We start from the raw sequence: 14,603 nt of genomic DNA on the forward strand, positions 1-14,603 counted from the left end.
TATATATTGTAATAGCCTTTGGCCAAGGGTAACACAACCTGATGTACCAATATTAATTTCAAAAAATGAGTAGAGAGTAATATGTCATGAAGAAAAAACAGGGCATTAAAGTAAATAAAGATAAAGCAGCCAAAAGAATGGCAGATATAGTCTTGAGCTTAGAAAGTAGATGGGAAATACAGATGAGACATTCCCTAAACCCAGTGAGTTCTCAGACGTGGATAAAATGAGGAAGTAGGAGACAGAGAGTAAATGAGAGGCAGAGCTACTTGGGAGCAATGTCTATTGTCCACAAGATTTGAAGAACTTTTAATATAGAGGAATGTAGGTTCAAAATTCTGAGTTTATCTACCTACTCCCCCACCACCACCAGAATTTTATCCCAACTTCCACCTCTCACACGATAAATTTGGAGCAGGGAGTAATTTTCAGCCTGGGAAATACTTTCATTTAATAACTAATTATATTAATGACAACATTTTATCTAATGAATCCTTTTGATCCTAAGACTCTCCTCAATTTGTCCAAGAAGACCATTCTCCCAAGATTTCAAGAGTCATTGGATGGTTTTATCATTACTGCAGGGAAGATTTACTCAAACTGTTGTGAGGGAAGGTTTCTAGTGGGAAGCCAACCCCTCCTCAGGTTTCTCTGTCCCTTACACCACTCAGCTACAAAAATACTCTCAAACATAAATTTAGATCTAGAAAAAATATATTGTGGAAATGGAAATTATGCACATAATCATAAAAGTTTGAATTTTATTGAGTCTTCTTCCTCTATCCATTCTGGGTATCCTGAGAATATGTGCTAAAAGGTTTCCCCCCACCTGCCCACATGAAGGAATGTATACACATTATTGTTGATCTTAGGTACTTAGTACAAAAATACATTTCTTTCTGAGGGAATGATTGAATGAATGAAATGAGAGCAACTGGGAGGCCAAATCAACACGTGGAAATAATCGTTACTGTTGCTTTATCAGCTGTGTTCAATTATCACTTAATAATGACTTTCATTAAAATTGGCTCATTTATGGCCAAGTTTAGAATTAGAGCAAAGCATAGTTGTCTTAGTTCAGATTCCCCAGGAAGCAGGCAGAGAGACAGTATTTCTGTGGAATTTATTAAGGGAGTATTCCCAAAAGAAACCAGCAAGAGAGCAAAAGAAGCAGGAAAGATGAGAGGAAGAAGCCAAGCAGGGTGCAGTTTTAGACATCACACTAGACTTCAGCTGAGGCTGCAGGAGGCTGTGGAGCACACTTAAACGTTACAGGGCCTGTAAGGCAAGGGAGCTAGCTGGGCTTTCATAGTCCTTTGCAAGTGCCTGGCAACTCTCCAACTGAAATTGAACTCCCAGGCATTTCTGGCTCCTGGCATGTCTGATCAAAGTGTTCCAGAGGCCCCAGGGTGGTCCTCTAAACAGGTTGCAGGTGTGAGCCCTTAGGAGGCACTAACAGACAGGCAGGCTTTACCCACGGAACTGGTAACAGAGATCTGAGGGATGACAACAGCATTTGCTACAATATTTAAAACCACTGGGGAAACCTGAAAGCACTTATTATATCATCAAACAGAACTGAACTTAAGGCTCACCTGAGCACTTACACCTGTGCCACATTAGCCAAATTACTGCAGCTTCTTGATCCTCGGTTTCCCCATATGCAGAATGAATGTGATAGTAACTGCCCCCGTATGTTTACAAAGACCAAATTAGAAAACATGTACAAAGCAATGTAAAACAGTGCCTTCTATATAATAACTACTCAATAAACGTTCATTATGATTATCATCATCACCATGCTCTTCCCCCTCCTCATTGTCCTCGTCATCCTCAACATTGCTGAAATGAGAAAATATTTTGGTAAAATACAATATTTTGACATTTCTTTAATGCCTAAATTCCAAGCTTTCTTGTGTTTTCTGGTCCAAAATATTCAACTCTCTAGCTTCAAGAAAGATGCTTGCTCTTCTCTTTCCACTTCATTCTTCTCTTTCCACCTCTGATTCTCATGTCTGTGTTTCCCCTGACCTTACATTTAGAGCCAGCCAATTCATTATTCAGCCAGTACCAGGCAGACTCAGAGAGGAGTGTGGATCCAAAACTAATAGATATTGTCAGTTATTTGCACACTGAAATTAAGGAGATCATTGCCAGCTCCATGGAAGGTCTGCCAGAAAGCACAAGTGACAAAGACCTCTGGCAGCAACAATCCTGGGATGATCAGGCTTTATTAAAAGGCAGTGATGGAGAGATTCCAAAACAGAACTGCCGGGTCTCAGAACTGCTGAAAGCCTCGGGTATCCCAGAACCTTTGAGTATGATTTCATTTGCCTTAGGTGGTAAATTAATTTCTGATTCATACAAGGGGGATGAGAAGAGAAGTGTGTTTTCAGAGGGAACCTTGACCTGAGAAATTCAAATACTGAGCAAACAGAAAACAGAAACAGCTTAAACTTTTAAGGCTCCCAAAAAACTTGTCAGGCTTGTCATTAGTCCTACCTGCTGCTGTGGTCATCTTTCTGTCGTCAAGAATGTCCCCTTATACCAGCTTAAGATCTCTCTTTGGGTTTTCTGTCTTGCTTCCAATTATAGAAGGGTCTAATCTTTCATTATAAATACCATGCTCTTAATTATGGATATCTATGACAGACACAATAGATTCTCAGAACCTGGCCTCAGCACTCAAGACAAAAGACTCCAGTGAGACACTCTGATGACCCAGTGGGGAAAATATTGCCCTGTGGTTATGCGTTATTATCGTTTTCAAGCTGCCTAAGGATACAGTAATTTGAAGATAAGGGGAATGTCAATCAAATTATTCACATCCTTAGATCATATTTCATATTAGAAAGTAAAAATTAGTCTATTTTTCACTCAATCAGTTAACACAAATCATCATTTAAGATGCAAATTTAACATAGATTAAAAATTCTTTATTGAGGGATGCTTCTTGGAGGCATACCAATTAAACATGTATTGGATTTTACATGACTTTTTTTGCTATTTTTTTGCTCATTTAAGATTCCAACTTGGCAAAGGAGATCCCAGGAAACTATCACACTTCCACCAAATTATTTTTGGACTTGAAAGAGAAATAGTGCTAGAACTTGAAGCCAATTTTCAATACCCACAGAAGCTCACATAGCCCCAACCTATAAATGTGGTAGGGCATTAAATGAATAATATATTGGAGCACAAAATAGTACATTGTGGAGTACTAGCGGCTGTATGAAAAAGGCAGAGTGAAAATCATCTTTTTTACTTCATGAAATTCAGCTACATTCCTGGCCTCATAAGATGGGTTTCAGGAACCCATGTAGCTTTGTGATGGTGAGCCTTGCAACCTAGCCCCTTGCTCCCTCAGTGACTAGCAGCAAAAATGAAAAGGATATGATAAGTTAATTTCACGATTGTTTTTTGTTGGTCTTATGTAAAAGTCTGGAAAATTAAAAAATTAAATAAATATATAAATATACAATGCCAGGTGTTTTCAAGACCCTATGAAGCAAGGGGCCATAATGTCCTAATTTTTTACAGCTAGTATACCTCCCACACGGTGCTCAGCATTGATAGGAAAAAAAATCTGTTTATTTAATACATGTGGAAATACAGTCTAGTAGAGAAGGCAAGACTGTATGTATGCAAAATAAATAGGAAAGGATTCACAATAGATTAAAAGATCACTGGGCGTGCTGAAATTGTCAGAAAATGTCTTGGTTGAAAGGAGGTTGATACTGCTTCGATGTTTGTCTCCTCCAAATCTCATGTTGAGATGTGATCCCCCATGTTAGAGGCAGGGCCTAATGGGGGTGATGGGGGTGGGTACTTCATGAATGTCTTGACGTCCTCACCATGGTAATGAGTTCATGTGAGATCTGGTTGTTAAAGGGTCTAGGACCTCCCTACTCTCTGTATTGCTCCCTCTCTCCCCATGTGAAATGCCTGCCCCTCCTTTGCCTTCCTCCATGAGTAAAAGCTTCCTGAGGTCCTGACCAGAAGCAGATGCTGGTGCCATGCTTCTTGTACAGCCTCCGGAACTGTGAGTCAAATAAACTTCTTTTCTTTATAAATTACTCAGTCTCAGGTATTCCTTTATAGCAATGCAAAATGAATAATATAGAGGCACATGACAAAATATCTTGAAGAAGATCAACAAACAGTCTTTATAGAGTGATATTATATGAAAGATGATTACATTCCTGATGGGAAAACAGTTAAGCTGGCACCAAGGTACAGTAAGGGCAACCCCAACTTTCATCCCTGAATTTCTTAAATTATGATTCCAAAGAGTTCTCTGAGGAATGAGGATTCATGTGTTGATGGCTATATGGTAGTGATACTCATGTGCTTCTCTTTGTGTTGGGACCTTCCTGTGATGTATCAGGGGTCTCAGCATCCATGTTTCTCCTTGTTCCTCCACCTGCTCAAATCACCCTCATTCTTCTAGAATAACTCAAGTTGTTTTTTCATGAAGCCTTCTCAAATGGTTCAGTCTTTATTTATTTATGTTTCAAATGTTCATCTTGCTCCCTCAAAATGGATTGTACTATAATTTTTAAAATAAAGTCTATGCAAAGCAAAATAACATTGTGTGTTTATCAAACCATGTCATTTCTCTGACTGATGAGAAAAAAAAATGGAAGACTAAATTTTCTTGCTTCTAGGTGAAGTCATTTGACCACTTTTATCTAATACTATGTGAGAGAAAATGTTGTTCACCATTCCCACACCCAGCCCCTAAAAACTCACCCTTCATAAGTTTCTTGTACCATTTAGTTTCCACAAAGAATCATACTTTGGTAATAGCCAAGTCCAAAAATAGAAGGAACCTGGACTCTTGGGTCAGTGCCTCGAGAAGAGCCATCAGGAGTACTCCTGACTGGCAATAATCTCAGAAACATGAGCAAATAATAAAATTTTATTATATTAGGACATTGAGATTCTATGATCACCTATATAATAACTACTATTTATTATCCTATTTAATATAGTTGTTTTTCTATTTATTATAACTTTTAATTGAAGTATAACATATACATACAGAAAAATGCCCCAATTATTAGTATATAGCTTGATGAATTTTCACAAAATGAACACACTTGGCATCCAGCACCAAGATCAAGAAACAAAAAAAAAATTATCACCTCTGTATTAGTTCATTTTCATGCTGCTAATAAAGACATACCCGAAACTGGGCAATTTACAAATGGAAGAGGTGTAATGGGCTTATAGCTCCACATGGCTGGGGAGGCCTCACAATCATTGCAGAAGGCAAGGAGGAGCAAGTCACATCTTACATGGATGGCAGCAGGCAAAGAGAGAGTGAGCTTGTTCAGGGAAACTCCTCCCTTATAAAACCATCAGATCTTGTCAGACTTATTCACTATCACGGGAACAGCATGGGAAAGACCTGCCTCCATGATTCAATTACCTCCCACTTGGTCCCTCCCACAACACATGGGAGTACAAGATGAGATTTGGGTAGAGACACAGTCAAACACTATCAAGCTCCTAAAAGCCACCTTCATGCCCTCCCCCAGCCACAGCTTTCAAGAGTTTCCAGTAGCCTGGCTTCCAACATCAAGCACTAGTTTTGCCTCCTTCTGCACTGTAGAAATGGAATCATGAGACTGAAGTTTGATAGCCTCTCCTGATGTAAGAACACACCCTTCCTCACTCTGAATTTGGCCTAACCTGCAGTATCCTTAGCACTTACCTTCATCTTCTATAATAAAAGCAATTGTTTCTCATGTCACAGAGTGGGAGGAAAGAGGGAGATGTGGTTCAACACCAGGATTTCTACGTATCTGGGTCTTCAGTCCCAAGGTTCTCAGGGAGATTTGGGGGACAAAGCTGAGTACAAAAGCAACATCTAGGACTTTGTCCTCAAAATCTCACTGCAATGTGTCAATGAGCTGGTGTTGCTCAAATGAGCAATGGGGACTGCTGCTTTCCAGACAAAAGTCCCACTATCACAAGGGCCCTTTATTCCAGGCCCAAACCCTAAATTCACCTTCTTAGAGCTTATCACCCTAATCAAGGTAAGATGAAGGCAAGGAAGAACATACAAAGGAAAGAAATAAGGAAAAAAATGAAGTAGCATACAGACGCTAAGTACACAGACATTGGAGTCAGGCAGAATGCTATGGATTGTGTTTACCACCTCCTTGAATTCATATGTTAATGCCTAATCGCCAATGTGATAATGATAAGAGGTAAAGCCTTTTGAGAGGTGATTTAAGCCATAAGATCAGAACCCTCTTTTATGAGATTAGTCCCATTATAAAAGAGGTCTGAGGGAGCTTGTTTTCCCCTTCCACCACATGAGGACACAGCTAGAAGGTGCCACCATTGAGGAAGAAGGCCTTCACCAGGACCTGCATCTGCCAGCACCTTTATATCGGACCTCCCAGGCTCCCTCCAGAACTAGGAGGAATCAATTTCTGTTCTTTAGAAGCCACCTGGCTTATATTTTTGTGATAGCAGCCCAAACTAAGATACACAGCTAGGTTTGAATCACTACCCCACCACTTATTATATTTGTAAATTAGTCCTTTGTTATTTTTGGTGTCTGCATAATATTTCAAAGTGCAGCTGCTGTGTAATTAAGTCATAGTCCCATTGGGACATATGGGTGACTACCAAAGGAAATGGCAAGGGGGTTTGGGGGTTTTTTAGTGCTTAATTTATGTACACTCACTTTGTGTCCAGTGGTTTGCCACTAAGTGCAATGCTGTAATAAACATCCTGTATGTATACCTTTAAAAACCCAGAGCTTTTATTTTTATGGGAGAGATTCAAAGAGTAGGCCTTCTGGGAGGAAGGCTATGTAGTTTCAAGTTTCAACAGCTGTTGCACTATTGCTTTCAAAAAATTCCAGGGCAATTTACATGTTCATCGGCAATGTCTGAACATCCTTTAGCCCAAATTCCAGCCAGAAATGTGTTAGACTTATTATTTTGTTTTCCAAACATAAAAATAAAGAGAAAAGTATAACCCCCAAACACCCATCACCCAGCTTTATCAATTGTGAATATTGTGGCACTCCTATAGCCTTACTTTAACTCAGTTTATTGAGGTATCATTTATATCTGAAAAAATAGATTATTTTTAGTATACAGTTCTATGAGCCTTGACAAATGCATATTGTTGTATAATCATCTATGCAGACATGATACAAAGCTTTCCCTCATACGAAAAAAAGTTTCCTCGTGCCTCCTTTTAGTCCAGCATTTCCCTGAAACCCCAGTCCCTGGCAAGCACTGGTATATAATTTTTTCTCTATATTTTTGCTACTTCCAGAATGTCATATAAATGCAAGCATATATCATGTAGCCTTTTGAGTATGGCTTCTACAATTTAACATTTGCATTTGAGATTTATTTGTATCGTTACTTATATCAGTAGCTTGTTCCTTTTTATTGCTGAGTAGTTTCCAATTGTGTGGGCACTCCTGCATTTGTTTATTCAACATTTGAAATTTGGGGTGGTTATGAATAAAGCTGCAGTAAACATTGATGGCCATGTATTTATGTGAACATAAGTTTTTATTGTTCAGATAAAAACCTAGGAGTGGGACGGGCATGGTGTTTCATGACTATAATTCCAGCACTTCGAGCACTTTGGGAGGCAGAGGCAGGTAGATCACTTGAGGTCAGGAGTTTAAGACCAGCCTGGCCAACTTGGTGAAACCCGTCCTTACTAAAAATACAAAAAAATTAGACTTGCATGTTGGCGCACACCTGTAACCTCAGCTACTTGGGAGGCTGAAACATGAGACTTGCTTAAACTCGGGAGGCAGAGGTTGCAGTGAGCTGAGATCATGCCACTGCACTCCAGTCTGGGCAACATAGCGACTCTGTCTCAAAACAAAACAAATGAAAAATCCTAGGAGTGGAACTAGTAGCTCATATGACACACACACACACCTTTATAAAAACAACTGCAAATCTATTTTCCTGAGTGGCTAATACATTTTACGCTCCAACCAGCAATGTATGAGAGGTCTAGATCTTCTGCATCCTCACAAGTACCTGACTGTAAGTTTTTTTAAGTCACTCTAATAAGTAAGCAGCACTGTCTTCTCATAGTTAAATCTGTATTTTCCAAATGACTTATTCTGAGTACTTGTTCTTGGCCCTAATTCTTTTCTTTGCTGAAACATTGTTCAACTCTATTTTTTAATAGGCTTGAATGTTTTTATATTATAGAATTTTAAGAGGTCTTTATATATTCTAGACACATGTACTTTATCAGACATGTATTTTGAAATTTTTTTCTTTCTCTTGCCCTCATATTTTCTTAACTATGTCCTTATTTTTTTAATGTATACAGCAATATTGACTTGTTGCTACTCTTTCAGTTATGTGAATTTTAACATATATAAATCCATGTAAACACCACAATAATCAATATGCAGAAAGTTAAATTACTACAAAATACTCTTATGCTTTCAGTTTGCTTTCTCCCTCTGTTCCCAATTATAATCTCTAAAAACCACTGAGATAGTCTCCATACCTACAGTTTCCTTTTTTTTTAGTAATTAATCAAGCAGTAGTAACCTTTGGAGACCAGGTTCTTTCACTCACTGCAATGCCTTTGAGACTCACATAAGTTGTGTGGATCACAAGTTTGTTCCTCTTTGTTGCTGTATCTGATCTATTCCATTGTGTAAATACACCTCGGTTTGTTTATCCATTAACCAATTGAAGAACATTATGTTTTTTCCGATTTGAGTCAATTTTTAATAGTCGCTATAAATATCCATGTAGAGATGTTTGTGTGAATATATGTTTTCATTTTTCTAAGATATATTTCCAGGAGCGGGATTGGTGGAGTCACACAATAGAGTGCTGTTAACTTTGGAGGAAACTGCCAAACCATTTTCTAGTGTGGCTGTACCAGTTTTCATTCCACCAGCAATCTATGAAGAGTTCTAGTTGCTCTACACCCTTGTCAGTACGTGTTACTGAATGTTTTGTTTTAGCCTTTCTAATATGTAGTAACATTTTATCATGATTTCAATTTGTAAATGTTAAAGACTTTTTTTTAGGTATTCTTTTCTGAAATGGTCAGTCAGGTATGACCACATGAGAGAAAGGAGAGGCTCAGGGAAAAACTAAGTTTATTATACTAACAGATTTTAGAGATAGGAGGCATAGGAACACCATGCAAGGCCAGATGGGAAAGACACGGAGGTGGTCAGAAGGCAGAAGACAAGAGTGGAAGGACCCTGTAGGCCACAGTCTTTTTGAGAGTTTCCGCAGGAAAAGAAAGGGCAGAAAGAACAGATTAAGCCTGGCTAGTCTGAATAATGTCAGTAGACTCTAAGCTACAGGGATTGTCCTCAGGTGTCCAATACCAGGCTTTGAGATGATTAAGCAAGAGGAATGTTGGTTCCTGGAGTGTATAGGCCAGAGAGAGGAGGCATGGCTCTGGATTGATTAGTTTGCACCTCAAATGCATGCTCCTGGCTGAGCCCTTGCTATTTCTAAGAATTGGCTAGCTCCAGGAGGGGCAGTCTCTCCACAGCCAGAAAAGTTTTTCAAGATGTCAAAACATTATGATACACACAACATTTATACTATAATAGTATTATAAATATTTTTAAATGCATATTTGCCAACTTTATATCCTCTTCAAGGAAGGGTATATTCATGTCATTAACCCTTTTTAGAATTGTGGTTTTATTTTCGTATTATTGAGTTTGGGAAGTTATATATTCTGGGGATAGGTGTGGTGACTCACACCTGTAATCCCAGCATTTTGGGGGGCTGAGGCAGGAGGATTATTTGAGGCCAAGAGTTGAAGACCTCTCTGGACAACATAGTGAGACCCCATCTTTACCAAAAATAAAATACAAAAAGTTTATGTATACTTGTTAAAAGCAATTGTTTTTTATATATATTTATATATATGTATATATATTATATGTATATATACATATATACACATATGTATTATATATGTATATATGTCTGTATATATGTATATATGTGTATATATGTATATATGTATTATATATTTATACTTATTTATATAATATTTATATATACATATATTTAATATACTAATATATAATATACAAATATATAATATTTACATATATATATAGTTTTGCTAATATTCCTAATGTGTAGTTTATCTTTTCATTTCCTTAATAGGATATTTTGCAAAATCAACATTTTTAATTTAGATGAAGTCTAATTTTTCCAAGTGTATTTTTAAATTGACAAATAATTATATATATTTATGGCACATAGTGATGTTTTGATACATATAATGTATAGTAATCATGTCAGGGTAATTAGCATGCCTATTGTCTCAAACATGTATCATTTATTTGTGTTAGGAACATTTAATATCTTTCTTCTAGCTATTTGAAACTATATATTGTTATTCACTGTAGTCATCCTACCCTGATAAAGAACACTGCAATTTATTCCTCTTATCTAGCTGTGATGTTATATTCTTTAACAAATCTCTCCTTATTCTTCTGTATTAGTCCATTCTCACACTGCTCTCAAGACATACTGGAGACTGGGCAATTTATAAAGAAAAGAGGTTTAATCAGCTCATGGTTCTGTGGGCTGTACAGGCTCCTGCTTCTGGGGAGGCCTCAGGACACTCACAATTATGGCAGAAGGTGAAGGGGAAGCAGGCATGATCTTCACATGGCCAAAGCAGGACAGAGAGAGAAAGAGAGTAAAGGGGGAGGTGCTATACACTTTCAAACAACCAGATCTCCTGAGAACACTATCACAAGAAAAGCAAGGGGAACCACCCCAATGATTCAATCACCTCCCATGCAGCCTCTCCTCCAAAACTGGGAATTACAATTCAACATGATATTTGGACGGGGACATGCAGCCAAACCATATCACCTTTCCTTCTTATTACTCTTCCCAGCCTCTAGTATCCTCTGTTCTATTTTTTAGTTCTATGAGGTCACCATTTTTTTCTGAGGCAGAATCTCACTCTGTTGCCCAGGCTGTAGTGCAGTGGTACAATCTTGGCTCACTGCAACCTCTGCTTCCCAGATTCAAGCAATTCTCCTGTCTCAGCCTCCTGAGTAGCTGGGACTACAAGCACGCACCACCACACCCGACTAATTTTTCTATTTTCAGTAGAGATGGGGTTTTGCCATGTTGGCCAGGCTGTTCTTGAACTCTAGACCTCAAGTGATCCACCCGCCTTGGCCTCCCAAAGTGCTGGGATTACAGGTGTGAGCCACTGCACCCAGCCAATCACCATTCTTTAGCCTCCACATATGAGTGAATGCAATGTTTAAGTATCTGCTCCTGGCTCATTTCACTTAACATAATGTCCTCCAGTTCCATCCATGTTACTGTGAATGACAGGATTTCATTTCATTTCAGAGCTGAGTAGTATTACATTGTGTATATATATCACATTTTCTTTACCCACTCATTTGTTTTTGGACACTAGTTTTACTCCATATCTTAGCTATTACAGTGTTGCAATAAAAATGGGGGTACAGATGTCTATTCAACATAACAATTTCCTGTCCTTTTGATATATTCCCAGTTGTACAATTTCTGACTCATCTGGTGGCTCTAGTTGTTTTTTTAAGGAACCTTGTATTGTTCTTTTTAGTGGTTGTACTAGTTTACATTCCAGCATGAATAAGAGTTCCCCTTTCTCTGCATCCTTGCCAGCACTTGTGACTTTTTGTCTTTGTAATAATAGCCTTCCTAACTTTAACTTAGGTCTGTATTGTCTAATATAAGTATAGCTACTCTTGTTTACCTTTGGTTTCCGTTTACATAGAATATCTTTTTCCATCCCTTAACTTTCAGTCTATGTATGTCTTTTCAGTAAGGTGAGTTTATTTTATGATTATACTTTAAGTTCTTGGGTACATGTGCAGAACGTGCAGTTTTGTTACATAGGTATACACGTGCCATGGTGGTTTACTGCACCCATCAACCCGTCATCTACATTAGGTATTTCTCCTAATGCTATCCCTCCCCTAGCCCCCTACACCACAACAGACCCCGGTGTGTGATGTTCCCCTCCCTGTGTCCATGTGTTCTCATTGTCCAACTCCCACTTATGAGTGAGAACACGCAGTGTTTGGTTTTCTGTTCCTGTGTTAGTTTTTTTAGTTTACTGAGAATGATGGTTTCCAGTTTCATCCATGTCCCTGCAATGGACACGAATGCATCCTTTTTATGGCTGCATAGTATTCCACGGTGTATATGGGCCACATTTTCTTTATCCAGTCTATCATAGATCAGCATTTGGGTTGGTTCCAAGTCTTTGCTATTGTGAACAGTGCCACAGTAAACATAGGCGTGCATGTGTCTTTATGGTAAAATGATTTACAATCCTTTGGGTATATACCCAGTAACAGGATTGCTGGGTCAAATGGTAGTTCTAGTTCTAGACCCTTGAGGAATTGCCACACTGTCTTCCACAATGGTTGAACTAATTTACACTCCTACCAACAACGTAAAAGTGTTCCTATTTCTCCATGTCCTCTCCAGCATCTGCTGTTTCCTGACTTTTTAATGATCGCCATTCTAACTGGCATGAGACGGTATCTCATTTTGGTTCTGATTTGCATTTCTCTAATGACCAGTGATGATGATCTTTTTTTCATATGTTTGTTGGCTGCATAAATGTCCTCTTTTGAGAAGTGTTGGTTCATATACTTTGCCCACTTTTTGATGTTTTTTCTTTTTTGTAAATTCCTTTGTTGATTCTGGATATTAGTCCTTTGCCAGATAGATAGATTGCAAAAATTTTCTCCCATTCAGCAGGTTGCCTGTTCACTCTGATGACAGTTTCTTTTGCTGTGCAGAAGCTCTTTAGTTTAATTAGATCCCATTTGTCAATTGTGACTTTTGTTGTCATTGTTTTTGGTGTCTTAGACATGAAGTCTTTGCCCATGCCTATGTCCTGCATGGTATTCAGAGTTGTTCCTCTCCATGGAAATCTTTAGTAAAAGGCAAACGATTCATACAATCTGAAGAGAAACCACAGTATGTGAGTTTCTCATAAACAGCATATAGTTAGGCCTCATTGTTGTTGTTTTTAATCTATTAACCCAGTTTTTATCTTCTAAATGGGAAATTTAATCCATTTACATTCAAGGTTACTATTGATAAGTAAGACTTACTCCTGTCACTTCATTGTTTTCTGGTTGTTTTATATAAATTTTTGTTTCTTACTTCCCATCTTATTTTTGCAATTTGGGTGGTTTTAAGTAGCCATAAGGTTTGATTCCTTTCTCCTTTGAGTATCAACTGTACCAGTGAGTTTTATAGTTTTTGCACATTTTCATAATGGTGATCATCTTTTCACTTCCAGATGTAAGATTACCTTGAACATTTCTTCTAAGGCTGGTCTAGCGGTGATAAATTCCCTTAGTCTTTGTCTGTGAAATATTTTATTTCTCTTTCATTTCTGAAGTATAATCTTTCTGAGTATAATAATTGCATTGCTAGGTTTTTTTCAGTACTTTGAATATATCATCTTATTCTCTCCTGCCCTATAAAGTTTCTGCTGCAAAATTCAGTGTAAGTCTAATGATGATTCTTTCATAAGTGACTTGATGCTTTTCTCTTGCTGCTTTTACAATTCTTTCATAATCTTTGACTTTTGACAATTTGAGTACATTGCGCCTCAGAGAGGACTTGTTTGAGTTGAGTCTATTTGGGGTTCTTTTAGCTTCTTAGGTCTGGATGTTCACCTTTCTCCCAAGACTTGAGAAGCTTTCTGCTATTTTTTTAATTAAATATGTTTTCCTCATTTTTTCTCTTCTCTTCTTCTTCTGAAATGCTAATAGGAATATTTGTCCTGTAAATCCCAAAGGCTTTCTTCATTCTATTTTATTCTTTACTCTTTTGTTTTTGTTTTCCTGTGTAATTTCAAAAGACCTATCCTCAAGCAGGCGGATCATAAGGTCAGGAGATCGAGATCATCCTGGCTAACATGGTGAAACCCGGTCTCTACTAAAAAATACAAGAAATTAGCCAAGTATGGTGGTGGGCACCTGTGGTCCCAGCTACTTGTGAGGCTGAGGCAGGAGAATGGCATGAACCCAGGAGGCAGAGCTTGCAAGTGAGCCGAGATCGTGTCACTGCACTCCAGCCTGGGCGACAGAGCAAGACTCCATCTCAAAACAAACAAACAAACAAACAAAAGCTAATTTGGTGTTGAAGTTATTTTTTGTTACATTAAATTTTTCAGCTCCAAGATTTCTGATTATTAAATGATATTTATCATTTTATTGGATTTCTCAAAATTTTTTTTCTGATTTTATTGAATTGTCTATTGGTATTTTCTTGTATCTCACTGAGTTTCTTAAAGATTATTATTTTGAACTTTTCCTGGCATTTTATATATTTATGATACCAGTCTTTGGTTTTTTTTTTTTTTTTTTGGAAATGGCATGTTTCTTTGAGTTGTCATGGTTGGTGTATCCTTATGTTGATTTCTATGTATCAAGTCATCTTTTCTAATTATATATGGTTTTGTAGGAAATGATTTAATTGTATGAATAAGTCTTGGGATATCATTTTGTGGGGTATGTTGGCCTTGGTTCTAGGTAGACATAGTAGTGTAGTCTTCAT

At 37.8% G+C, this 14,603-nt stretch overlaps 1 pseudogene; it reads right to left on the reverse strand.

Moving 5' to 3' along the window:
• Positions 12,837-13,114, reverse strand: RNU5B-6P (RNA, U5B small nuclear 6, pseudogene; annotated as a pseudogene).

Source organism: Homo sapiens, chromosome 10 (genome assembly GCF_000001405.40).
Source record: "Homo sapiens chromosome 10, GRCh38.p14 Primary Assembly".
Lineage (NCBI taxonomy): Eukaryota > Metazoa > Chordata > Mammalia > Primates > Hominidae > Homo > Homo sapiens.